The sequence below is a fragment of the Homo sapiens genome, chromosome 10 (assembly GCF_000001405.40).
Source record: "Homo sapiens chromosome 10, GRCh38.p14 Primary Assembly".
NCBI lineage: Eukaryota > Metazoa > Chordata > Mammalia > Primates > Hominidae > Homo > Homo sapiens.
Window position 1 is genome coordinate 70,690,948 of NC_000010.11, and position 25,062 is coordinate 70,716,009.

At 51.2% G+C, this 25,062-nt stretch overlaps 1 protein-coding gene across 8 annotated transcripts in view, besides 5 other annotated features; it reads left to right on the top strand.

Moving 5' to 3' along the window:
• The window catches only part of ADAMTS14 (ADAM metallopeptidase with thrombospondin type 1 motif 14), an 89,936-nt gene that overhangs the window by 18,442 nt on the left and 46,432 nt on the right, over positions 1-25,062 (top strand). For all 8 annotated transcript variants that reach the window (XR_001747025.2, NM_139155.3, XM_011539300.3 and 5 more), the window contains exons 3-4: positions 11,365-11,521; positions 17,641-17,831. Coding sequence is in view for 7 of the 8 variants with exons in the window: in NM_139155.3 (NP_631894.2) it covers positions 11,365-11,521; positions 17,641-17,831 (348 nt within the window). In the remaining variant the exon portion in view is untranslated. The remainder of the gene's footprint in view (positions 1-11,364; positions 11,522-17,640; positions 17,832-25,062) is intronic.
• Positions 2,558-3,059: an enhancer, noted in NCBI's record as "H3K4me1 hESC enhancer chr10:72453261-72453762 (GRCh37/hg19 assembly coordinates)". NCBI's record gives its function as "activates a minimal SCP1, AML or CMV promoter by ChIP-STARR-seq in primed H9 embryonic stem cells {active_cell/tissue: H9 hESC(primed)}" and the evidence as "EXISTENCE:reporter gene assay evidence [ECO:0000049][PMID:30033119]".
• Positions 3,060-3,559: an enhancer, noted in NCBI's record as "H3K4me1 hESC enhancer chr10:72453763-72454262 (GRCh37/hg19 assembly coordinates)". NCBI's record gives its function as "activates a minimal SCP1, AML or CMV promoter by ChIP-STARR-seq in naive H9 embryonic stem cells {active_cell/tissue: H9 hESC(naive)}" and the evidence as "EXISTENCE:reporter gene assay evidence [ECO:0000049][PMID:30033119]".
• Positions 10,906-11,407: an enhancer, noted in NCBI's record as "H3K4me1 hESC enhancer chr10:72461609-72462110 (GRCh37/hg19 assembly coordinates)". NCBI's record gives its function as "activates a minimal SCP1, AML or CMV promoter by ChIP-STARR-seq in primed H9 embryonic stem cells {active_cell/tissue: H9 hESC(primed)}" and the evidence as "EXISTENCE:reporter gene assay evidence [ECO:0000049][PMID:30033119]".
• Positions 11,408-11,907: an enhancer, noted in NCBI's record as "H3K4me1 hESC enhancer chr10:72462111-72462610 (GRCh37/hg19 assembly coordinates)". NCBI's record gives its function as "activates a minimal SCP1, AML or CMV promoter by ChIP-STARR-seq in primed H9 embryonic stem cells {active_cell/tissue: H9 hESC(primed)}" and the evidence as "EXISTENCE:reporter gene assay evidence [ECO:0000049][PMID:30033119]".
• Positions 15,117-15,617: an enhancer, noted in NCBI's record as "H3K4me1 hESC enhancer chr10:72465820-72466320 (GRCh37/hg19 assembly coordinates)". NCBI's record gives its function as "activates a minimal SCP1, AML or CMV promoter by ChIP-STARR-seq in primed H9 embryonic stem cells {active_cell/tissue: H9 hESC(primed)}" and the evidence as "EXISTENCE:reporter gene assay evidence [ECO:0000049][PMID:30033119]".

Genomic DNA, 25,062 nt, shown 5'->3' on the forward strand with positions numbered 1-25,062 from the left:
GCTTGGTGGGCTATGATGGTGACAGAGGGGGAAGCCTCAGAGCCGCTTGGCTCCTGGGCACTCGGGAATGGAATCTGAGGGTGGCTGCTGGCCTGGCAAGATCTGCCCTGAGTCTGGCTGGGCTCCAGAGTGAGGGGTTTGCAGCAGAAGGCAGTCTCTGAGCACCTACAGGTCCTGCCTCTGGGCCAGGACATCTGCCTGTTGGCGGGGAAGGGGAGTAGAAATAAAAAGTGACCACCCCTCCTTTAAGAACTTCAAGCTTTTGGCTGGGCACGGTGGCTCACACCTGTAATCCTAGCACTTTGGGAGGCCAAGGCAGGGCCTCCCTTGAGGTCAGGGGTTCAAGACCAGCCTGGCCAACATGGTGAATCCCCGTGTCTACTAAAAATACAAAAATTAGCTGGGTGTGGATGCACACCTGTAGTCCCAGCTACTCGGGAAACTGAGGCGGGAGAATCGCTTGAACCTGGGAGGCAGAGGTTGCAGTGAGCAGAGATCGTGCCACTGCACTCCAGCCTGGGGACAGAGTGAGACCCTGTTAAAAAAAAAAAAAAAAAAAAAACAAAGAAAAAAACAAAACTTCAAGCTTTTGATGATCTGAGCAGCTCTGTTCTCCAAGGTGCTGGAGGACAGCCAGTCATCACCTTCATCATCAACATTAGCACAGAGGGACTCCTAATAATTGTCCTCACTCTCTGCACTATGGACCCCCAGCTTGGATGGCTGTGAGGGCATTGACTGGTCCTTGGCCACTCAGCAGATCACAGCTGCTCCCTCTACCTCCCAGGCTTCCCCCACGCTGGATCACTTGTGGTCTAGATGGCCCTTGGTCATGAAGTAAGAGGCGTGCGGTAACCCAGCCAGCTGGACTCCCTCTGTCCCCTCTCAGGGAACGTACTTATTGTATGCTCGTTTCCTCTCTTACTTGCCCATTTCTGGTGTTATGATGAACACACCTGTGCTGCTATTGCTCTCTTTATGAAACATGGATGACCACTTAAATGTCCCTTTTCGTGCCATTCTAAATGTCCCTCTTCTTGCCATTCCACTGTTTGAAAGCCTCCAGGGTTTGGATGAGTGGTTCTGAGCCCTGGATGCACGTCTGAATCACCCAGCAGCTTCCAGAATGCACTGACTCCTGAGCCCCACCCATCAGGTTTTGATTTCATCGGTCTGGGAGGTCGCCGTAGTTTTGTAAATTCCTCCAGGTGATTTTAATGACTATCTAGGGGTAAGAATGGCTGCTGTTGCCTCCTGGAAAGCCTACTGTGTGTCAGGTCAGTAGCTGGGGTCAGGTCTTTCAGACCAGAAGAGCCAGGCGGAGGAGGGAAGTAAAGGAAAAGACCACCACCTGCTGTGAACCCGGCTCCAGGAGGGCCATTTCCCATGCCTTATTTCATCTTCCCATCCACTCTTTGGTTTCAGATATGGAATCTGAGGCTGAGAGAGGGCTGGTGCCGCACAGCTGGGAAGGACCCTGCTGGGATGGAACCCCAGGTGTTTCCCTCCCCAGCGAAGCCTCTACACTACTTTGCAGGGAAGTTGAATGACAGAAAAGGAGAGATACATTATGTTTGCTTCCCTTTTTGTAAACTTTGTTTAGGGAATGGGAGTTGATTCTGTGTTCATTGTGGTAGGCACACACTCTGTGCCGAAAAGGTGTGCCTTTTGAGATAAGGACATCATAGAAAAGTTAGAAAATACCTAAAAGTTTAAAGAGAAAGAAATTGCCTACAGTCTTATTGCCTAAAGACAAGTCCCTAACAGCTGCGTATGTTTCTGCCCAGCTGTTTGTCTGCAGGTCTTTTTCACCTTTAAAATCATCCTCTATCAGTCCCCTTTTGGGGGGTAAGGACTTTTCCCCTTAGGATGTTCAACCACTGGTATTCTTTTTTTTTCTTGAGGACTTCTTTCCACTTACAGGCAGGACATCTGGGCATGTGTGGTAGTCCATTTTTATGTTGCTATAAGGAAATATCTGGGGCTGGGCAATTTATAAAGAAGAATTTTAGTTGGCTCATGATTCTGCAGGCTGTACCAGCATGGCTCCAGCACCTGCTTCTGGTGAGAGCCTCAGGAAGTTTGCAATCATGGTGGGAAGGAAGAGGAGCTGGCATGCCACATGGTGACATTGGGAGCAAAAGAGATGGGGGAGGTGCCACACACTTTAAGCAACTAGATTTTGTGTGAACTGAGTGAGAACTCACTTACCACCAAGGAGATCGTGCTAAACCATTCATGAGGGATCTGCCCCCATGATCCAATCACCTCCCACCATTCCCCGCCTCTAACACTGGACATCACATTTCAACATGAGATTTGGAGGGGATAAACATCCAAACTCTATCAGCATGTCAAAGACAGGCCATAGCAGAGCCAGGGGCTACAAGCAAACCCTCCTGTGGTTCCAGAATGTCACCCCCAGCACTGATCCTGCGGGCTCCCCTCCTGAGCCACTGGGGCTTCCATGCATGCTTCAAAGTGACAATGGTGATCATGAGAATCACGGCCGCAGATGCAAACACTAATATGGCCCTTGTGGCATGCTCGGGACCATCCTAGGTGCCTTATGTATATTGCTTTCTCAGAGCAGCCCTACAAGATGGTTGTGGTTATAATCCTGAAGCACAATGATGTTAAGTAAGTGTCCCAAGATTACATGATCTGAGAGTGGTGGAGCCAGCATTTGAACTCAGGAACTCTCTGGCTCTAGGGTCTCTGCATTTACCCACCACATTGCTTCTCCACTGAGAAAGACTTTTGCTGTAAATGCACTGGGCTCAGCAAGACCTCAGTAGCCTTTCACCCAGCATCTTCCAGGGTGTGGGGCCTGCAGAGGTCATGACCTTGGGAACTGTGGCCGAGTGGTCATCCCAGATAACTCTCTCCAGCTGGCAGAGGCTCTCTGCTTCCTGGTGTTTCTTTGAACCTTTGGCTTGTTGTGGCAGCGCTGATGGTGCTGGTATGGGGTGCCGTGCAGATGTACGTGGCAGAGCGTGCCAGTTGTGGACAAGTCTGGCAGCTTTCAGCCCCATCCTCCAAGAGCTCCTTCTTCCTGCCTGTCCCCAAGGCTGCAGCTCGGTCTGAATCAGCTTTCAGACTTTTTTTGGCTTGGGCCGAAGACTTGGCAGCCCCAGCCTCCAGCAGAGCTCCTGTGGCTTGGGGCTTCCACATCAGGTTTGAATTAGATGAAATCTCAGCGTCGGCAGGCTTTCATCCCAGCCTCGCTGACTCCCGCTTCCGTGGTAGCAGGCAGTCTGTGTGCCACATGCGTGTCGTCTCTGCATGAGTGTTTGCTGGAGCGTTTGTCGTCTGTGTGAGTCGTCCCTTTGTGTGTCCTCTCCGTGCTTGTGTATTATCTCTTTGCATGTTTCTCGTCTCCATGCATGCATATTATCTTTTTAATTAATAGCTTTATTGAGATATAATTCACATACCACGCAATTCGCCCATTTAAAATATGCAATTCAGTGGTTTTAAAAATTATATTCACAGAGATCTGCAATCACCACTGCTGTCAACTGTAGACCATTTTCATCACCTAAAAAAGAGACTATGTGGCCTTTAGCTATTCACCCCCGATCCAACATTACCCCAGCCCTTGGCAGTGACGAATCTACTTTCTATCTCTGTGGATTTGCCTATTCTATTTGTTTGAAGACACTTCATACAAACAGAATCATGTAATATGTGACCTTTTGCATCTGGCTTCTTTCACTTGGCATATTTTCAAGATTCATCCATCATGTAGCATTTACCAGTACTTCATTCCTTTCTACGGCAAAATAATATTTCATTGTATGGCTATATATATATAGTTTGTTTGTCCATTTATCCATTGATGGGCATTTGGCTTGTTTCCATCTTTTGAGTACTAGGAATAATGCTATGAACAACTTTTCTTTGCGTGGACATATGTTTTCTTTCTCTTGGGTGCTTACACTTTGGAAGGGGAATTGCTGGATCATGTGGTAATGCTGTTAATCATTGGAGGAGTATTGCCAGACCGTTTTCAAAGTGGCTGCGCTGTTTTACATTCCCACCAATGTATGAGGGTTCCAGTTTCTCCACATCCTTGCCAACCAACACTGGTTATCTGACTTTCTGATTCAAGCCATCCTATTTCTTTGTGGTTTGGATTTGCATTTCCCTGATGACTGATGATATTGAACATCTTTTCATGTGCTTACTGCTATTTGTAGATCTTTCTTGGAGAAACGTCTGTTCAGATCCCTTTCCCACTTTAAAACTGGGTTGTCTTTTAATGATTGTGTTGTAAGAGTTCTTTATATATTCCAGATACAAGTCCCTTATCAGGAGAGGAGAGGCCGGTCTCTCATGTCTTTTTGCACCCCCACCTTACCCCCATCAAGCTTAGCAAGCTGTATGTGATTCATAAAGACTTAAGGACATGTTAAGGGAGGAAGAGATCTGGGTCACTTTGAAGAGTCCCTGCAGGAGCCATGGTTCCAGGGTGTGGGGGTGTGAGGGGTGGGGCTGCCTCTCTTACCTGCCGTGAATCAGAGACAACAGCCCCGGATGGCCCATTAGAGGTTCTGGCCCCTGCAGGTTATGTAGGGTGTTGCTTTCAGCTGAACTGACTGATGGAACCACCAGGGTTGGGGGACTTGAAAAGACCTAGATCACTGAGCCTGTCCCTCCTCCTTGATTTTGGGGTAGAGCAACTGGGAAAAAGGCAGTGTCATTTACTGAGATGGGGAAGACAAGGGGAGGAGTGGGTCTGGAAGTCAAACCCAGAGTTCTGTTCCAAAGTTTGAGATGACCAGTGGAGATCCAGTCTCTATCAAGGAGGCTGTTGGATAATCACAAAGGAATTTCAGGAGGAGCCAGGGCTGGGGATATAAACTGGAAGTCATTTGCAGTCATGCAGTACCTAAAGCCATGGTCCTGGGGACATGCCAGGGAGAGCTGATGATGGGAGGAGCTGTGTGAGACCAGGACAAAGAAGTGATTGCTGGCTATGGCCATGTTGTGGTCACAGGTAAGCAGTTTCCAGGAAGTGGTGGCTCTAGAAGGCCACTTGAGGTGGGTAGAGGAGAAGCCAGGGGGTATGGAGGTGGTGAGTGTAGACAACGCTTTCTGCTGTGGAGGGAAGCAGTGACATGGGCAGTAGCTGGGCAGGGATGGGAGGTAGAGAGTTTCAAAGATGCGGGACACTCGAGTGTGCTTGGATGCAGATAGGAATGGTCTTGTAGAAAGGAGAGTGTGATGAAGCTGGAAAGGGGGTGCTAGCTGCAGGAGCTGAGTCCTTGAGGAGGTAACAGAGAGGTGATCCTGAGCACGGAGTAGGGGGACCACATCCAGCCACAGAAGAGGAGAAGGGGCCCAGCTGTGGGAGGACAGTGCGCAGCAGGGTGGTGGGAGCCTTGGAGTATGAGACTGGGCAGGGGGGCAGTGTTGGGGGTCTGAGCCATTTGGGAGAGCTGGGACACAGACCGTTAAGCTGTTAGTCTTAACAGGGAAGTGCAACAGAACCTCAGCTTCATGCTCATGTGAGGTGAGCTGCTGATTTCAAGTGAGAACAGTAGGCACCTGTGTGCACGCGTGGAGTAAGTGGATGGTTGGGCTGAACCAGGGTGGAGAAGCTTCCCTGGGACAGCAGGATAGAGGGAAAGTGGGTGAGAGAGTATGGGTGTTTGCAAGAGAATTATTGTGCAACTAGACCTAGATGTCCAGGGTGGTGAGAAGGGAAGCGAGGATGTAAGGATCACACCTTGGAGGTCCCGATGAAGTTTAATAATAACTGGAGCCAAGTGCTAGGGTTAGGTGAGCAGGGCAGTGGGGGAAGAGAAGGAGCCACCTGCGGTCGAGGTTTCTGGGTTGTAGCAGCCCATGTGGTCTAGCCAAGGAGCGTGGCTGGCAGTGGCTGGGAACAGTGCATGCAGATGCAGGTGGCCCTGTTGAGGGGAAGCAGCCACCCATTGAGGAATCTGGTGGAAGCCATTTCTGATCCTTGTGTGTATCACCCCAGCATCCAGTTGCTGGGTTTTCTTTTGTTTCCTACAGTGGAACAGTTTCAAGCTGGGTTTGATGGAAGCCTAGAACCTGAGACAGCACAGCTGACCAAGGGGTGTCGGTGGAAATAAAGCCCTTGTGATAGAAATTCCAGAACAAGTTCAGACCCAAGAATGCACTCTCCTTGGGAGGTGATGGGGTGATTGGCTGAGAGGTGGCCTGCTCTGCTACTTTCTCCTCTGGGGAAGCCCCAGATAGGCCAGCCTTGGAAGGAGAAAGGAGAGGCAGTCTGGCCCACTCCTCAGCTGGCTTCACTGAAGCTACTATCTTGAAATAGCCCTTCTGGGCATTTGGCAAACGTAGGCTGGTCCAAGCGGCAGCAGGCGAGGGGACTTAGGATCCCCCTTTCCCAGGGCCTGCAGCTGTCTCCTGAGAGCCAAGCCACTTGCAACTGTCTGGACCCCAGGCCAGGTCCTTGCTCATTGTCTCTGTACCTGCCCATGTCTGACATGTCTCCCAGTCCTTGGGGATCTCTTCTGTGCTCCTCTTGGAGAACTCTTTGTTGGCTCCAGGTACCCTTGCCTCCCAGTTTACATGCACATACATGCAATTTGAGAATAGATGTACTTTAATGTACACATGCACACATACGTACTCATTTCAAAACAATTTGGCCTCAATTACCTGCTATAATATCTGGGACCTCATCCTGATAGTAGACAGCTGTGGGTGACCCGCTGCACTTGCTCAGTTGTGGTTCACAGCGGGACACAAGGTGATTTCTAAGCCAGCACTCGCCTCCCTAGTTGCCACGTGACCATGTCTTCTTTGGGTGTCCTGGGCTTACACCCTGAGGGGCTTTCCCTGAGGGGAACCCATACTGGAAAACCTGTCAACATGGCCTGGAGACCTCTGGATGAAGAGGCAGCCGAATGTGTTACCTTTGCAACCAAAACGATGTCATGTTGGAGAATCCACAGTCCTTCCCATCTTCCACCCTCACCATCATTCAGCCACACACCTCCCAGGGAAGGCACCTCAGAAGCAGCCACATTAAAGGGAGTTTAGCCCAGCTGAGAGTGGCCAGATTTGTGCACTGGAGAATTTCCATTTGGGGAAATTGGACAAGGGCCTATGGGTATGTGGCTCAATTGGATGTAATCAATGATTCTTTGTTTTAGTTTTACTGTGTGAAGAACCTATCTAGTACATATTTCCTATTTGTTTACTGTTTGTAAAAGAATAAGATATAGTTGGAAATTCAATATGGCTGATATTTATTTTCCATCCTACCAGAATTTATTTCTCCTTTTTTCTTGATTTTTTTATACAGAAATTTGATTTGATTTTAGCACTTTAAAATTAGCCACCACTTTTCAGAAATATAAACATTCAATAAATTGAGAGACGGGAGTACTTTAATGAGGAGGCAGAGAGCCAGAAAGTGCTCACTGCCAGCCAGTCTATGCTGTGTGGTGCCTGGTTTCCTGGCCACGGCAGAGATTCAAGGGAACTTGGGCCAAACCTCTCATTGTGCAGACAGGGAAACCAAGGTCTGAGGGGGAAGGAACTGGGCCCATCTTGCCTCCCGGTCTGGTGGCCAAGCCTGCCTTCCTGTCTTCTCTGTCTAGGAGGAGAGTCTCTGCGGCCCAGGCAGAGCCCAGACCTGGATGAGAGCTGCCTGTTGAGGCCTGGGTAGGATGCACGCAATGGGACAAGGACCATCTCTGGGGAGGTTCCGCCCTGATCCCTTGGGGGCTGATGGGATCCACAGTCGCATAGAAATTTAGAAACTTATTCCTCAGATTACGTAGGACAGGGCTTGGGTCTGGCTTCTTTGTCCTAAACAGTTTACTGGGATGGGGAAAGACAGATCTTTTAACCCTTTCCTGGGGAGAGGCCTAAGAGTGTGGAGGCTGGACCCCGGACCCAGGGTCCTGCGGGTTCCCATTCTGCTGAGAACAGTGAGGGTGTGATGAGGATGGTCTCCGTAGGGGTAAGAATCCTGGGGAGTGGGAGGGACCATTTCTTTTATGGGCTGTGCCCTGCCCTCCCTTCTCATATCCTTGGTGAGAGGTGTGCTGGCCTCCATGGGAGGGTTTTGCCCAGAGGTGGAGAGTTGGAGAATGAGTGTCCTTGCTCAGCAAGGTCAGACCAGAGGCCCAGGGATTTGCAGGTGGTACTAGGAAAGCCATGTTTTCTTGCTCCAAGTGGCTCCTGACAGCAGAAGCAGGCCTGGGGGCTGAACCCAGGTAATACAGTATTGTAGTTAAGAATGCTGGCACTTACTTGCTGGGTGACTTTGGGCCAGTTACTTAACCCTTCTGAACCTCTATTTCCTCATCTGTGCAATGGGTCTAACATTACTGCCTACCTTATAGGGCTATAAAGATGAAATAAGATAATATATAAAAATATGAGCGGCAGGTACTGTTGTTAATAACAATGATAAGAAAACTATTTATAAAGGATGGAAAGTAGGGAAGTGTGTTCATGCTGAATACAATGTTAGGAGTGTCCCTACACAGAATCTGTTACATCTTGAGGGAGGGAGCTCTCTGTCACTGGAGGCATCCAAGTAAAAGCTAGAGGTCTCCTAACTGGGGAGGTTGTCAAAGTATAATGCCTCAGACTGGGACGAGCACGATGATCTTGAAAGGTCTGTAGCCCATGATTGTGGGCCAGAAGGAGGGGGTGGGCTGGAAGGCAGTGGCTTCATTCTGGAAACTGTATCCCTCATATGAGACACTGAGCCCTGGAGGCCACGTGGAGTCACTAGGCTGTGGGGCAGGGAATGCTAGGTTTGAAGGATCCTCTTTGTGGAGCCATTTAACCAAGCCCCAGAATGGGGGAGGGCCTTGACCAGGTGCCTGGTGTGTGGGAGGGGCTGAACAGAGCCTTCCACTTCCTGGTCTGGAGAGTTCGCCCTCTGCTAGGCAGCTTGAGAGGCGTGATGGACCGAGACGGTGCAGGCCACTGCCCTGGACCAGCCAGGTTTGTGTGCCTGTAGCCTGGGTGGAGCAGTGGCCTCTGACTCATGCTGTCTCCTGCTTGCTTGTTCCAGGGGCAGGAACAGCCCCTCTGGGTATCAGACACGGGTGCAGAAAGCGGGATGGGATAAATCATGCAGGGCTTGGCTGAGAGTTCATCACAGGCCCTCACGGCAACAAAGCTGCGGTAGGCCTTGGAGGTGTGTCCCGGGCCTGGAGCCACCAGCTGGAAGACAGGCCTCCTGTGGGGAGTTCTGCAGGCGTACAGTGGCAGAGGCTCTTGGATTTGGCCACCACTTTTTGTCCAGGTTTGGGCTCAACCTCTGTCCCTGAGCCTGAATGTCCTGGTCCCCTCCCCACACTGTCCTTCCTGCATTTCCACCCTCACCTGGGGGTCCTTCCCCTCTACCTGGTATGCTCTTTCCTTCCCGGGTTGGTTTCTTTTGCACCCTAACAATTTCTCCCTTCTGCCTGCTGTGGAAACCTGGGCTGACAGTCCCTGGGTGACCTTGTGACTCTGCCTGGATGGGACTGTGAAGGGAGAATCTCCTTGTCTCTGGTGGCAGAGAGGAGATGTGTCTGCAAGGACAGGGGACATATAGCCTGTCTGGGAGGAGGGAGGATGAAGCTGGTGTAGGAGGAGCTGAGGGGAGTGGTGGCAAGAGTGTTGGGCCTCTCACTTCCAGTCTTAGCCCCTGCCTAGGTGTGTCCTGGGGCTAGTACCTTCCCCTTCAGGCCAGGGGGTTTGAGTTGAATTTCTAATCCTTGCAACCAGGAACCTGATGGATAGTCATCCTTCAGGACCCACAGATGGCACCTCCTTTGGGACACGTGTCCACACTTCGTCATAGCACCGGGCAGGACGTTGGCAGCCCTCGGCTCTTGGGCCTATTTTTTCCATTTGTCCCTGCCCATAGGAGGCACACAGTAGGTATAAAGTCAAAGTGCTCTGCATGGATGCATGGATGCTCAGTATAAGGTTTGACGTTGACATTTTAACAAGCACACCAGAACTTTTGCAGACAGTTGAGTGTTACCTGACAAAATGGTGACAGGGAAGCCTCAAATTTGTTCCAATAATGCCATTTGTCCCTGGGAACATTTCTTGGCCTCCTGATTGGGCCTGTTTATGAAGCACAGAAGGCAACCATCTTGGTTTGGCTCCAAAATGATGTTTTCTGTTTGATCCACAGAAACAGCTAGAAGGGGCAAAGAAAAGGTTGGCTGCTGCTGGAGGCTTAGTGATGGGTGTTCAGTCGGACTTGGAGGGGGCTCCTAAGATGCAGCCTCAGAACAGAAGGAGGTGGGAAAATGGGTGGAATGGAGTTGTGTTGTCACTGGAGTTCCAATTCAAATGGAGAAGGTCTAGTGAATTTATAAAAACACTTCCTTCATTCACTGCTTCGTGTTCACAGCTGCGCTCCCAGTCCTTGGTATGTAGTAGGCACTCAATAGATATTTGTCGAACGAGTGAAGGAATTCAACAAATATTTATTTGCTAAATAATGCCTACTATTTTCCATCCACCACGGTAGGTGGGCTGCTCTTGGTACTTTGTAGGATGACATGGTGTGTGTGTGCGTGTGTGTGTATGTGCACGTGTGCATATGCAGACACACATACACGAACCCACATCTAGTTGTATGTTTCATTGGCCCCTGTGATGACCGCCTTCACTGGGGGATAATAACACATTTTCTGGACTTTGCCAACATATTTTTTTGTTTTTATTTCCAAGGCCAACACCTGATTTTTTTAAAGGGAATATTTGATGTAGGGAATCATTAGATTAAAAACATGCATTCCTGGCTCATTTATCGTGAATGAGCATTAGCTGCCCTCCTCCCCGGCCTCCAACCCCCATCCTGCCATGTGCACACCCACGTGCTTTCAACCTGAAATAACAGCGCTTCATATTGGAGTGGGGGACAAACACGCACCTTAGGGATAATGAGCCTTTGCCCCTAGGATCTTCCTGTCTGCCTCTAGGTAAAGCAAACCCCTGTGATGTGCTTCGGGCTGGAGTGCAGTGCCTTGGTGTATGTGCATGTGCCTTATGGCAGTGGCTTTTGTGCCTCTGCTTTTTATAAGCAATGGAAGCTCTGATGTAATGAAATTTTATGTAGAGCCCCATGGATAGACAACACTGTAAAAGTGGATCTACTTTGCTGAAAGGAGGGTGGGCCCCTTTGCTCAGCTTTCCTACCACCTCCTCCCACTCCCCTGCCAGGGCCTCATAGAACATCCTGGAATCCCAGGGCTCCTCAAGGTCCTGGAGGAAGAGCCTGCAAGCATGTAGGGTCACATATGTGCATTCACAGATGCTCGCCTGTCGGCTGTACTGTGTGTTCATGCCTCTTATTTCTCTCTTTCCCGCTGCTTGCCGTCCCTGGTTCAGGCGGGCCTCATCCGCACAGACAGCACCGACTTCTTCATTGAGCCTCTGGAGCGGGGCCAGCAGGAGAAGGAGGCCAGCGGGAGGACACATGTGGTGTACCGCCGGGAGGCCGTCCAGCAGGAGTGGGCAGAACCTGACGGGGACCTGCACAATGAAGGTAGGCTGTAGGTAGGGGCCTGTGTGCTGCTTCTCTCCCTACCTCTGGAGTGTTTCCCGGTCACTTCTGTCCTTAAGCTGTCCATGTCTGGCCTCAGTCTTCTTATCTGTAAAATGGGACTGGGCCACATAGACCTGCTGTACTGGCAGAGAAACCCCATTGCGTTCTAGAAGCTGCTGTAATTGGCTGGAGCTAGGGGCCAGAGGAGTCACTTGTGTCCTGAACTGTGGTCCCTGGGACTCCAGAGGTCTCTGAGGAGCTCACCATTGCTTCTCAAGGCTATTTCTGAGGCAAGGCAGAAGGTAGAATGCCTGCAGTGAGTTCTTCCCCCCTAAAATTGACTCAACCCTTGGGAGCCACAGGAAGGGAGTTATTAGGGCACCTGCAGGGAGGCTGCCTGGTGTCTGGGCGTCATGGTCAGCTTTGTGTCCCGTAGACCATTTTACAACCCTACCTTCAAGTCTGTCTACTGTGTGACCCTAGCAAGTTACCTAAGATTTCTGAGCCCTCATTTTCCTCATCAGTAAAGCAGAGATGATCCATGTCTACCTGTAAATGTTATATGTAATGGTGATGGTATCTGTGAAAATCCCAGTATAGGGCTTGGCATGTAGTAGGTGCTGGATAAATGGCAGCTCTCCTTACAGTATTATTAAGGGTAACTGCTGACATGTTAGGGTGGGAACCCCCTGAGGGAAGGGGTGTCCCTGCGCCCAGGCGACCAGTGCAGGAGGCTACACACCAGAGGCACTCAAGACTTATGGTTGGGCGAATGAAACTGGATGTGACAAGTGCTGGTCCTAGGCCCGCTGGTCAACTTCACAGTGTCACAAAGCTCCTTTGGCCAAGAGGAGATGAGGAGGCCATGGGTGAAATCTGGTTATGACTGGACCGCATCCTTGTGCCAGCTCCCTATGGGACTGGGCCTGGTGTGAGAAATGCCTGGAAGCTAGTTGTCCTCACAGACAGTGCATCCGTTGAAGCTCCAGTTGCTCTCCAAGTATCACTCATAAGAGAAGCTGTGGCACCAGAGCCAGAGGGTTCTGCAGGCCTAAGGTGGGGAGGGCAGGGCTGGCGGGGCCTCTGAGCACTGGCGTGGATTTCAGGGCACCCTTCTCTCCACCAGGGTTGAGAAGAGGGCTGAGTCTCCCCTGGGCTCCATTTTTTAAAGGACGATTCTGAATCCAAAGACCATAAGGTCCCCTCTTTTAGGAAGAGACGTTGGGGAAGTCCAGCTCCAGAGCTGTGAGCCTGGAACCAGCTGCATCACCAGCCACCATGGTGGGCAGCTGGGAAGCTGAGACCACTGAGCACACGGAGCTGGAGTTCAGACCCAAAGAAATGTGGCTGCGACTCTTGCCCCACACCAGGCTCCGGGGCTGGAACTCCAGTGAGGCCAGGCCCTGGTCCATCTACGGGCCTTCCTTAGAAAGACCAGGGGCAGGAGAAGACTTTCTTGGAAACCTGTGACTTGTACTTTTAGTTGAAGGCCAGTCGTGGGGCTGAGCCCAGTGTGGGGAGAAGCATTTCTAGGCGTGCCTGTCTCCATTTCACAGCTTGATTAAAGCCAGAGGCTTCAGCTCAGCTCTTTGGGTCTAGTTTTCAGCACACAGAGAGGTGCCTCAGAGGCCTGGCCAGGTGCTCAGAGCCTGCCTAGCAGCCGGCTAAAGGCTTTTGGGGAATCTTCCTCAGGCTGGGGACCTTCACATCTCCAGCTGTGGCTGAGGCTGTGGAGGGGATTCCAGCCCCCTGCTCCACTGTCAGGGAGTCTGAGGTGCACCAGTGAACCTGGAGTGGAGGGGACAATTCCTCTCGGCACTCAGTAAGGCCTCAGCTGCTGCTTCCTGAAAAGGGCATGTGTGGGCCCACACACTCACATCTACCCATGCACTCTCCCACACACTGACACCCACACTCACAAACACAGACCCATATACCCGCACTCACCCTTACTGGCACACACCCATGCACCCACACTCACACGTGGACACATACCACCCATACACTCATGCTCACACACTGACACAAACACACGCTCACAAACACACACCCATACACCCACACTCACACATAGACACACACCATCTATACCCTCATGCTCACACACTGATGCAAACACACGCTCACAAACACACACCCATACACCCACGATCACACATAGACACACACCACCCATAGATTCATGCTTACACACTGACACAAACACACGCTCACAAACACACACCCCCTACACCCACACTCACACATAGACACACACCACCCATACAGTCATGCTCACATACTGATGCAAACACATGCTTACACACATCCATACACCCACACTCACACATAGACACACACCATCTATACCCTCATGCTCACACACTGACGCAAACACACGCTTACAAGCACACACCCGTACACCCACACTCAAACACTGACAAACACATGCTTATACCCACCCGCACTCACACACCTGCATACACACATACAGACCCCTCTATACACTCATACACTCTCACAACCCCACATCCACACACTGACACCCCCTACATACTCACACACCCCTTCACACACTCGCACACTCTCAAACACACTCATACACACACATGCTCATATACACATACTCTCATATATACACACATCCATGAATGAGCCCCAGAGAAGAGTTAGGTGATCCTTTCCCAAGGCTTTGGTGAGAAATTGAACCGTTCAGAGTCCAGGGGCAGGAATTCCCGGTGCTGGGCCACCAGGCTCAAGCTGGCCCTCACCCCGCGGCCCTGCCTTGGCCCCTGAGGCTGCGTCCTGGATGCTCTCCTGCTCCTAACGCTTCCCTCTCCTATTTAATCCATGGTCCTACTCTCTGGAGCCCCGTTCCCACCCCCAGTTCCCTCCTGAGGACACTAATGGGGTATGTGCTCCTGCAGCCCGAGCTCGGGCTCTCCGTGGGGCTGCCCATGCCAGGGCCGCCAGCCGGGCTGGGGCTCAGGGCGGCTGCTTTACAAGCAATTGAGATAAAATTCACCATTTTAACCATTTTGAGGCATATGATTTGGTGGGTTTTTAAAACTATATTCACAATGCTGTGCAACCATCACCTCCATCTAATTCCAGAAGATTCCCATCCGTTAGTTGTAGTCACTCCTGTTTCCCTGCCGTCCAACGCCCCCTGGCAACCACTAATCTACTTTCTATCTTTCTAAATAGGATTTGCCTATTCAGAACGTTTCATGGAATGAAATCATGTGGTATGTGCCTTTGGTGCCTGGCTTCTTTCACTCAGCATGTTTTCAAGGCTCATCCATGGGATCGCCTGTCTTGATGCTTCTCTTTATGATGGAGCACTAGTCCAGTGTATGGGCATGCCACATTTATTCATTCATCTGGTGGACACTGGAGTTGTTTCTATCTTTTGGCTACTATGAAATGCTGCTGTGAACATTCATGTGCAAGATTTTATGTGAACATACGTTTTCAATTCTCTTGAGTACATACTTAGCAGTGGAATTACTGGGTCACATGGCACCTCTAGGTTTAACTTTCAACTGTATTTTCAAAGCAGCTGCACCATTTTACATTGGCTTGGGGCTTCTTGGATGGCTCATGGCAGCTTCCCAGTGGCTGGTGGGCCCTGCTCTGCCCTGAGGGTTGTCTGCTCCTGTCATCCTGAAGGATGAGGGACCCACAGAAGAGGGTGTGGCTGGAGCCCCCCCACAGCATCCAAGGCTGATGCTGGCTGGTCCTCCCCAATTCCCCAGAAAGTCTGCAGAGAGAGAATTATGGCTGTGCCCCGATAGACAGTGGTCATGGCTGGGGGAGGCCTGAGTTTACATTCCGGGCTGTTGTCATGAAGCTGCTGCGTGACCTAGGGCGAGTGGGGTAACCTCTCCAGCCTTCCTGTGACAGGCCTGGCAGGGAGGGCTCTGAGGGGTCAAGTGTGGCATTCCACTCGCAGGGCTTACACTTCTGAGCACAGCCCATGCGTTGGGAGTGACTGTTATTTTTCTCCCTGCTCCATGGAGAGAGCCTTGCGCCTTCCCCTCCCCTGCTGGGGGCTGCCCTCCTCTCTCCCAGGAGTTTGGCTGTGGGCTGCTGCGCTTGCCATTGGCTCAGACACCAGGGCCACCAGAAGCTGCCTGCAGTGTGAGCTTAGAGCGGTGCCAGCCTCAAGGGTAAGTGAGGGAGAAACCCACCTGAGCCCTGCTCACCAGGCTGTGTGTCCACCCAGAGGGCTTTCCCTGCCAGGCCAGTGGCCACACGTTTTTCCAGCTCTTAAGTCTAGGGCTTTGTTCCTTTGCACTATAGCACCACTCAGCAAAGAGGAGATAAAAACAAATGGTGACACCAAGCCCTGTGTGTTCCCTGTTACCTGTCCTCAGATCCCCATTACCTGAGCACCCGTGTGGGTAGCAGCGTAGAGGCGGCTCGGGTCTCTGCAGAGGTTCCCATGGATGCATCCATGTGCATCACCCACGTGTGGACGGGGTCTGCACTCACTCGCTCCCATGTGTAAAATAAACAATCACAATGGATTGTGCAGGGGCAGGGCCCTCTGCCCCCTGTGCTGAAGCAGGTTATCTCCTGCTCTCTGTTCAGCCCCAGCTTCAGTGACCCCTCCTCTGGATGCCTTCCCCAACAGGTCTGGATCTCCAGTGGGGTGCCTTCTCTGATCAGTCCTGCTGTAGTCTTTGATATTCCTGTATTGTTACAATCCAATTTCTTATTTGTCCCCTCTACTAGGCAGTGGGCTTAAGGGCAGAGGCCCGGCCTTTATCACCTACCCACCGTCCATCCATTGACTAGTATGGGGCCCCTCCTGCTGCCACACCCCTAATACATGCTGGGGATATTGTGGTGGCCTCTTCACATCCTCAGTCCCAGCCTCCTATCTGGGGAGTTCTCAAATAACTGGGGATAAATGAAGGTTCTTAGAAATTAATGGTATGAGTATCAAAGCTTCAGAGTGAGATGGAGGGAAAGTCATTAAGAGTTAAGGCTCTGGAGCCTTCTTGACAGACCCCAGCCTCCTGTCCTGCCTTCTTAGCTTTCCCCGTGAGTCTCCATGCACCCTCACTCCACCGCCCCAGCAGAGTGTATTCTATCTTCATTCAGGCTATAGCATAGATGACTGACAGCGCTCAAGTTGTTACCCTTCTACGTGGCGGCATAGATGGTAATGTTTCAAAGCATGGGCTTTTGATTCAGACAGACCCACATGAGAAGCTACTTAACATCTTTGAACTTCAATGTGTTCACCTGTGTAATGGGGACAACAATCTGATAGAGTTGTTGTAAAGATTAGACTAGATTGGGTTGCATTAGATTAGATTAGAGGTCAGTAAAGGTAAGGCCCAGGGCCAGATATAGCCTGGCAGCTGTCTTGTAAAGGAAGTTGGATTGGAACACAGACACACTCACTCACAGTCTCATCTGCGACTGATTTTGTGCTTCGGTGGCAGAATCGAATGGTTGTGACCGAGAATGAATGACCCCCAGAGCCTAAAATATTTATCTGGTCCTTTACAGAAAAAGTTTAGTAACTCTTGGATTATATAATACAAGTTAATAAATGCTATTTTGCTTTTAGCCAAAAGGGCAGAGCAGCGATGGTGAAATCTGGGGTCACTGACAGTTCTTGGGTGGGATTTGAGAGGCTCAGTGCTCACAGGAGTATCCCGGAGTTCCTCAGATGCCCTATGGAGGCCACAGTAGCCCCATGACTTTTCTCCTTTATGGAGATATTGCCAACTTTGATTTTTACAGCAACCTTGTGGGTTAGAGATAAAGGGTGGTTCATCTTCATGTTATAAGAGAGACAATGGAGGCCAGAGAAGCGAGGGATTGGGCCTGGGACGCCCACAGAGATAGGATGAGTGGCTCCCGGAACCCAGGCTTTCTGCTCTGGGCCAGTTCTCACCCCTTTGCTACTCATTGCTTCAAAGATTTAGCAGTGCCCTCATGGCAGGAAAATGGCTCTTGCCCATGAGTTGACCTAGTATGGAGCAATCCCTCATACTACTTTACTTACAGAGGCAGGGAAAGGGGCACCAGTGATGGGGACAGAGGTGGGTGGTGGGCAATGTCACAGTGACAGCCCCTCCTGTGGGTTGGACCTCACTCTCTTCCTGTCTTGGTTCCAGCCTTTGGCCTGGGAGACCTTCCCAACCTGCTGGGCCTGGTGGGGGACCAGCTGGGCGACACAGAGCGGAAGCGGCGGCATGCCAAGCCAGGCAGCTACAGCATCGAGGTGCTGCTGGTGGTGGACGACTCGGTGGTTCGCTTCCATGGCAAGGAGCATGTGCAGAACTATGTCCTCACCCTCATGAATATCGTGAGTGTCCATGTGTCCTAGGACTTGGGGGGAGTGGGGTGGGGTGGGCCCCACCCCACCCCACTGGGCCCCAGTGCTGATCCAAGTGGAAGTTTCTGGGGCCTGGTATTTTTTAGGTGGATTTGGGGAAGTCATTGCTTGCTCCTTAGCCCAGAAGGCACACCCTTGGCAGCCAGGTTCGATGGTGTAATGAGCCTGAATTGGCCTGACTTGCGTCCCAGGCTGTGGCCTGATCCCAGCTGTACATACCTGGGCTGAGGTGACCCACCAGGCCTCCTGCGCTGGAGCCTGTGGACAGTGGGTTCTGGGCTTGGACACATTCAGAGTCAGGGTCAGGCGTGGCCTGGAGCCTTGCTTGTGTTGGAGTTGAAGGGACTCTTCTGGGACTCATCATCTGGAAAAAATGCCCACCCCCAGGCTGGGGAGACTGGCCGAGGAGCTGTCAATATGTGAAGTGGGTCCTGAGACCCTGACGTTGGCCCTGGGTGTGCACAGACAGGCAAGGAAAATCAGGGATGTGGGCAAATTCTAAGACTGCATTGAAGCAGAGAGCCCGTGCCCTTAGCTGCTGCCTGTGGCTGTCCTGCAGAGATACAGGACTCTCGTCACAGAAAAGCTAGTTTTTCAAGAAAAGTCAGAAATGTAGTTTTTTTTTAAGTGTTTAAAAAATTTCATTATGGAAAATTTTAATCCAGATATTTAAGTGAACATTTCCAGTTTTTTTTTTTTTTTTTTTTTTTGAGACGGAGTCTGGCTCTGTCACTCAGGTCGGAGTGCAATGGCACAATCTCGGCTCACTGCAAGCTCCATCTCCCGGGTTCACGCCATTCTCCTGCCTCAGCCTCCCAAGTAGCTGGGACTACAGGCACCTGCCACCATGCCCGGCTAATTTTTTGTATTTTTAGTAGAGACGGGATTTCACTGTGTTAGCCAGGATGGTCTGGATCTCCTGACCTCGTGATCCGCCCGCCTCAGCCTCCCAAAGTGCTGGGATTACAGGCGTGAGCCACCGCGCCCAGCCTACATTTCCAGTTTTTAAATGTTAAAAGAGAAACCCACTGTGGATGCCAAACAAAATACACTATAGGCCACAGGTGGCCCCAAGTGAGCATCCCTGGGCTAAAGGGGCAGAGACAAGGAAGAGCAGGAGGGAAAGGAGGGTGAGAGCATATGGCCTTTGTCAGGGTGCCTGTGGCTGTGTGGTTCTGGGAAAGGATGGGGACCTGTCTGGGTGAGGTGAGACCCAAGGTAGAAATAGTGCAGGCAGGGGCCAGATGCTGGGGATGGGGGCCGGACCCTCAGCCCTCCCCTATGAAGTGTAGTACCGGAGGCAGGTGACCCATTGGGATAGACCCCAGCTCAGCATGGGACACTGTGCAGTCCAGGCCTGGGGGAGGTGGGCAGTGGTGCACAAGGGAAAATGCCACGTCAACAGGAGGCAACAGGGCAGGTGCCCTTCACCTCTGAGCCTCTGCAAGGTGACCAGGTTAATGGCTCATCATAAACATTCATCTGGAACACCAGAGCTGAGAAAGAAGATATGTACGTGGTGGGTCCTGAAGAATTTGAGTGAGGCCTCTTTTGAAGGCCAAAGCTTCCAGCCCCTGCATGGGCCCTCACTGGCCTTGATGTTAGGGCCCTCTGCCCCTAGGCCTGTCTGGAGAGGATAAAGAGGCTGGCTAGCTGTATGATCATACAGACCGAAAGATGACTGCAGTATGCCAAGGCCGGGATAGAATCACCTTATCCTCAGTCTAACATGGGCAGTGCTGGGAGGCTGTAAGAGATGTGCAATTGATTGTGCTACGGCACTAAGAGGAATATTAGTGAATCGGCCAAGAGCACACAGTCTGACTCGGCCCCTTCCTGTCTTTGTGACTTTGGGGGCGAGTTACGAACCCTCTGGTGTGTCTCTTCTGCACTTTGAAAGCAGCATTAACAGTACTTACTACCAGAGGTTTTGGGGAGGATGAAATGAGCGCATGGTGCACAGCATGGCCATGCAGAGCATGCGCTGTCAGTGGGTGGTGGTTGGTGATAATAATGTGACCTTCGTGAAGTGACTGGTCATGCATTTCTGGGAACGGGACAGTTGATGGGGAGAAATGTCAACCCCACGTCATGTCAGTCCCCTTGGAAACATTGGTAGGGCGCTGCCTGGGTCCATAATCTGGCTGCACCTTTGACGAGGTGGTCACTAGGGGGACAGCCCCTTAATGTCTCTGGGACCTTGGGCAGGGGACCTGTGTTGCTCAGGGATCCATAGGATGCAAATGATGAAAACCCAACTCAATCTAGATGAAGACAAAAGCGGTAATTTCTTTCGTGGGTCAAATTGGGGGAGGGACAGGTTGGAGCCAGTTATAAGAGTAATTGGAACTAGAGGAAGTTTTCAGGTTCGCTTCTCTGTCTGTGACATGCTGATTCTCTCTGACCGACTTCTCTACCAGACATTCTGGCCACTGACAACACAACGCTGACTCCTATCCCCATCCATGGCTGGAGACAAAAGGAGTTTCCCCTCTGGTTCCCAGGCAAAATCTCCCGAAGCAGGACTCTGATTGGCCTAACCTGGGTCACGTGCCACTCTTTGGGATGATCACTACACGTTAGAGAGGGAGAGCATCAGTGCTCCAAGGCTGGAGAGCAGTTAGACACAGCCATGGCCGCTGGAGAAATTGTTCTGAGCTGGCCAGTCACCCCAGTTTGTGTCTGCTACAGTTTAGCCCCTTAGAGCCTCTGCTTTTTCATGATAGTGTCTGCTCTTGGGTTTGTGAAGATTTAGTATCCAGGGTATCTAGCACATGCCTGGCACATAGTGGGTACTCAAGTAATGTTTTCTGTCATTAGTATTGTTACATTGTTTGTTTTTGCGTGTATAAGTTGTTCCTCGCCTGAGTTTGGGAAAGTGAGTTCCCTGAGGGGAGGGGCTTTTTCTTTTTAGGAACCCCAACAGCACACACAGCACAGGGTCTGAGACCTGAGAGGTGATTGGTAAACGTGGAGGCGAATGGTATCCACGAGAGAAGCGGGTGGCCGGCACCCATTGAGATGGCAGCAGGAGAGAGCAGCAGAGTTCTGTCTGCAGTGTCAATATCAATAAAAGAGCAGGAGCAGAGATCAGCTCCAATGACAGGAGCCCAGGGAGCGGGTGGGGGGCTAGAAAGTCTGTCCCTGGCCGCCCCTGTGTGTGGACACTTCTTCCATCCCAGGAGCCTAGCATGTGGTTTTGGACACAAAGGGCAAAGGCTACCACATGGAGTTGTTTGAGAAAGAGAGAGGGAGGGGAGGGAGAGGACGCCTATGAATCTGAACACACCCACCATGCTGGAACACTTGACCGCCCACCCAGACTCTGCAAATCACAGGCCCAGCCTGAGGCCGTAGCTGGGGACCGATCCCATTAGTAGGAGGCCACGCTGAGAGCCAGGTTTGGCCCCTGGAGCCAGCAGGTGGGGGACAAGAGGAAGGGCAGGAAAGGGGAAAGGGGTAGGGGAGACCTCAGGATGCCCAAGAGTGGTAGGAACCTGGGTCCCACGGCCCAAAACTGGGGCTGAAGACCCCAGGACTGTAAGCCAAGCCCTATTGCAGCCCCAGAATCCTTCACTTTGTTAAAAGATAATTTTCAGGAAAAGGTAAACTCATGACTCTCATAGAGAAATAAAAATGAACATATGTTAAAGATTTGACTCCACATTAATGAGGGAACCAGGCAGATGTTATAACTCGTTCAAAAGAGAACCCAAGGACAGAAACATTATAGATTAGGAATTTTATAATGAATGTGCAAAAGGAGACAAAATTGATGTTGTGTAGGGTGGGAGGGAAGGCTGTTTAGCCTCTGCCAGAGAAGATGGAACCTGCCTGCGTGCAGACAGGAATTTTGCGTTGCTCTTAGTGACCCATGGTGCTCTCTGCTGTAAGGGCACTTTCTCTGCATCCGATTCCGATAAGGGGGAAAGACACGCGGTGGCAGTGCCTGTCTTCCATTGAAGCACAAGTTTTTATTCTCTGGTTTGAGGCCTGACCAGGTGTGAGGAGTCTGATGACTTGTCCTCCTTAAAAATCTCTGCCCTCATTCCCGGAACTAGCGGAGTGGCAGCATCTCCCAGGCTACAGCCCTGGATTGGACTGGGTTACAGCCCTACACAGCAGTGTGGTGGGATTCTGTCTCTTCTGCAACTCTGTTCTGCCACCTGCTCCTCACTTCCAGGATTCTGGCTGGGGTTAGGAGAGTGAGAGTGCCCAGGGCAGTGGCGGGGGTGAGTTTTCTGAGGGGGACCACAAAGTTGTCTTGGGTGATCTGCTCCATTCTTTCTCTCATCTTTCAGAGAAACTCTTTCAGAGGTACCCTGGGGGACCTCCATGAATTCTGTTGCTTGGCTTCTTAACTCTTGGTTGGACTGAGGTGTCGGCAGGTTCTGGAGGGTGGATCAGGCTTGCTGGAGCCCTGCTCCCCAGCTGGCTTCACTGCCAGCCTTGGCTAACATCCATTCATTTGTTCAGAGCTGGGTGCTGTGCTACCTCTGTGGGCCCTCTGTGGGATGAGGTATTGGGTGGGGTGGGGTGGGGGTCAGGGTTCTTGTGGTTGCAGGTGACAGATCCAGCTCACACTAGCTGAAGCCAAAGAGGGGTGTATTGGCAGGGAGCTGCTGACATGCCCACAGAGCCAGTGGGGCAGGAGCCCCAGGGGCCACAGGATGAGGGCTTCAGGCCCATTAGGGCACCGTCCCCTACTCTGCTGGCCTGTGCTTGTCAGTGGAACCCAGCAGCAGATGGGCTTTCTCCCATGATGGGAAACAGGAACAACCCAGGTCCTCACACTTAGGACCCAAATGCCAAAGGTCTCTTTCTTGCCCTCCTAGGGAAGACTGGCTAGGGTGGGACATGAGGCTATCCCTGTATTAATTGCTGTGACTAGAAGGTTGGTTTGGGTCTGCTGGGTCACAGCTTGCCGCTGTGTATGGGGGTGAGTTGGAGCAGGACCTGTGCCCAGAAGGCAAGCAGCAAAGCATGCGGACAGGAAGAATGGCTTCCACAGTGGGGGACACAAAAGGAAGAGAAAACACAGTCCCTGCCCTCTGAGCTTATACTGCTGTGTGTCTGCAGACCACTGCACAAGATATAATTGCAAGCTGGGTGCCGTGACTCACACCTATAATCCTAGCACTTTGGGAGTCCAAGACAGGAGGATTGCTTGAGGCCAGGAGTTCAAGACAAGCCTGGGCATAGCAAGTCCCCATTTCTACAAAAAAATTTAAAAAATTAGCCAAGCAAGGTGGTGCACACCTGTAGTCCCAGCTACTCAGGAGGTTGAGGTGGGAGGATCGCTGGAGCCCAGGAGTTCAAGGCTGCAGTGAGCTATGATTGTGCCGCTGCACTCCACCCTGGCCAACAGAATAAGACCCTGTCTCTAGAATTAAAAAAAAAGAATATCATTGTAGAAATTATTAGTATTGTTTTTGAGCAACCACTGGGAGCCAGACTCTTTGTAGACTCGACCTCATTTATTTAAGTCTCCCCATAACCCTGTGAGAGGTCTGAGTAGCCTCAATGTCCTTACATAGAAACTGGCGTGCAGAGACAGGCTGTAACTTGCTAGTCTGCCCTCTGGTAGGCCGTGGGGCTGGGATCTGAGCACCACTGTGTCCACTCCAGAGCTCACCCTCTTCCCCAGGCCTGGTGCCAGCTGGTGCTGTCCGTGGCTGGTGACCCAGCTGTTATGGTAGAAAAACTTTTCTCCACCCTCTTATGTTCAGTACTGGAGGGCTTGTGAGTTAAACTGAAAGAGATGGACTGGCAGGAGAAAAGAGTTGATTTGCCAGTTCCTTGTATATAGGGGTGCTCCATGATGAGTACCTCAAAGGGGTGGTGAAAACTGGGGGTTTGGCCAGGTACAGTGGCTCACGCATGTAATCCAGTACTTTGGGAGGCTGAGGCAGGTGTATCACCTAAGGTCAGGAGTTTGAGACCAGCCTGACCAATATGGCGAAACCCCGTCTTTACTAAAAATACAAAAATTAGCTGGGTGTGGTGGTGCGCCTGTAGTTCCAGCTGCTCGGGAGGCTGAGGCAGGAGAATTGCTTGAACCTGGGAGGCGGAGGTTGCAGTGAGCCGAGATCGGGCCATTGCACTCCAGCCTGGGCCACAGAGGGAGACTGCAGTCTCAAAAAAAAAAAAAAAAAAAAAAAAAAGAAACAAAACCTGGGGGCTTATATTCTTAGCTTAATAGGGAGAGAAAGGGGAAGGGAGAAAGGTTTCTTTAGGAAAGACAAGTGGGTTTTTAGGAGAACTAACGGGAGATGAAGTTTGTGATAATGCTTACTTAAGCAGGGTCAAGTGGTATTTCTGTCTTTATGACCGTGAAATTCCCTTAAGGGGATTTCTGACAACCTCTTTTCCCAGATGCTGCTGCTTTTAAGGAAAGCTGAGAAGGCTTCTTTCTGCATCTGTTGGCTTTCAGATGTCTTCAGCTTACACTGATCTGTATCCTAATGCTGGGGTTCCAAATGGGCCCTCACACAGGCTGGGAACAGGACCCCAGGAGAGGGAGTGCTTGTATGCATGTATGTCCTGGAGGGGCCATGACCTGTGCCAGCTCCTACAGTCTCTGCTTGGTGAGGGGCTCCACATGCATGGTTTCTGGGCACTGTGTGCCCTCAGCGAGGCCCCTTCCAGACCCACTGAGTGGCCTGGTCTGAGCCCCTGATAAGGGCTCTAAGAGGGTCAGCTCAAATGATGGGGGTGAGGGTGGAGGGGATACTCTTTGGGGCTATGGGAAAAACAATGAAACCCACTGCTGAGGTGGAGAGCTGAAGGCAGCGAAGTTTGGAAGGTAGTGGGGAGAGTAGATGGGAGCTTGTTCCCCAAGCAGAATTTGGGAGCTTCCCTTGGAAACCAGAAGAGGTCTTTTGATGGGCTATAAGTGAGATGTTTCTTTCTATTGGGCAAAGTGTACTTTTGAAACTTGGCATTCCAGGGCTGGCCTGGCCTGAAACGTGATGCATTCAGAAGGGGGTAGGAAGCCCTCCAATCTGGAGTTATAAGAGACCACGTGGATGGTGGCAGGAGTGGGTGGGAAGTTCTCTCTGAGCCCTTGATGTTCATGATGTGGAGGCCAGCTGCCCACTTATCCTTCTCTGGTGTTCCCCTGACGTCCCTAGGACTTTACTGTTGGAGGAAGGCAGGCTCAGTAACCCATTCTAACCTTCTTGGCCAAATTAACACATTC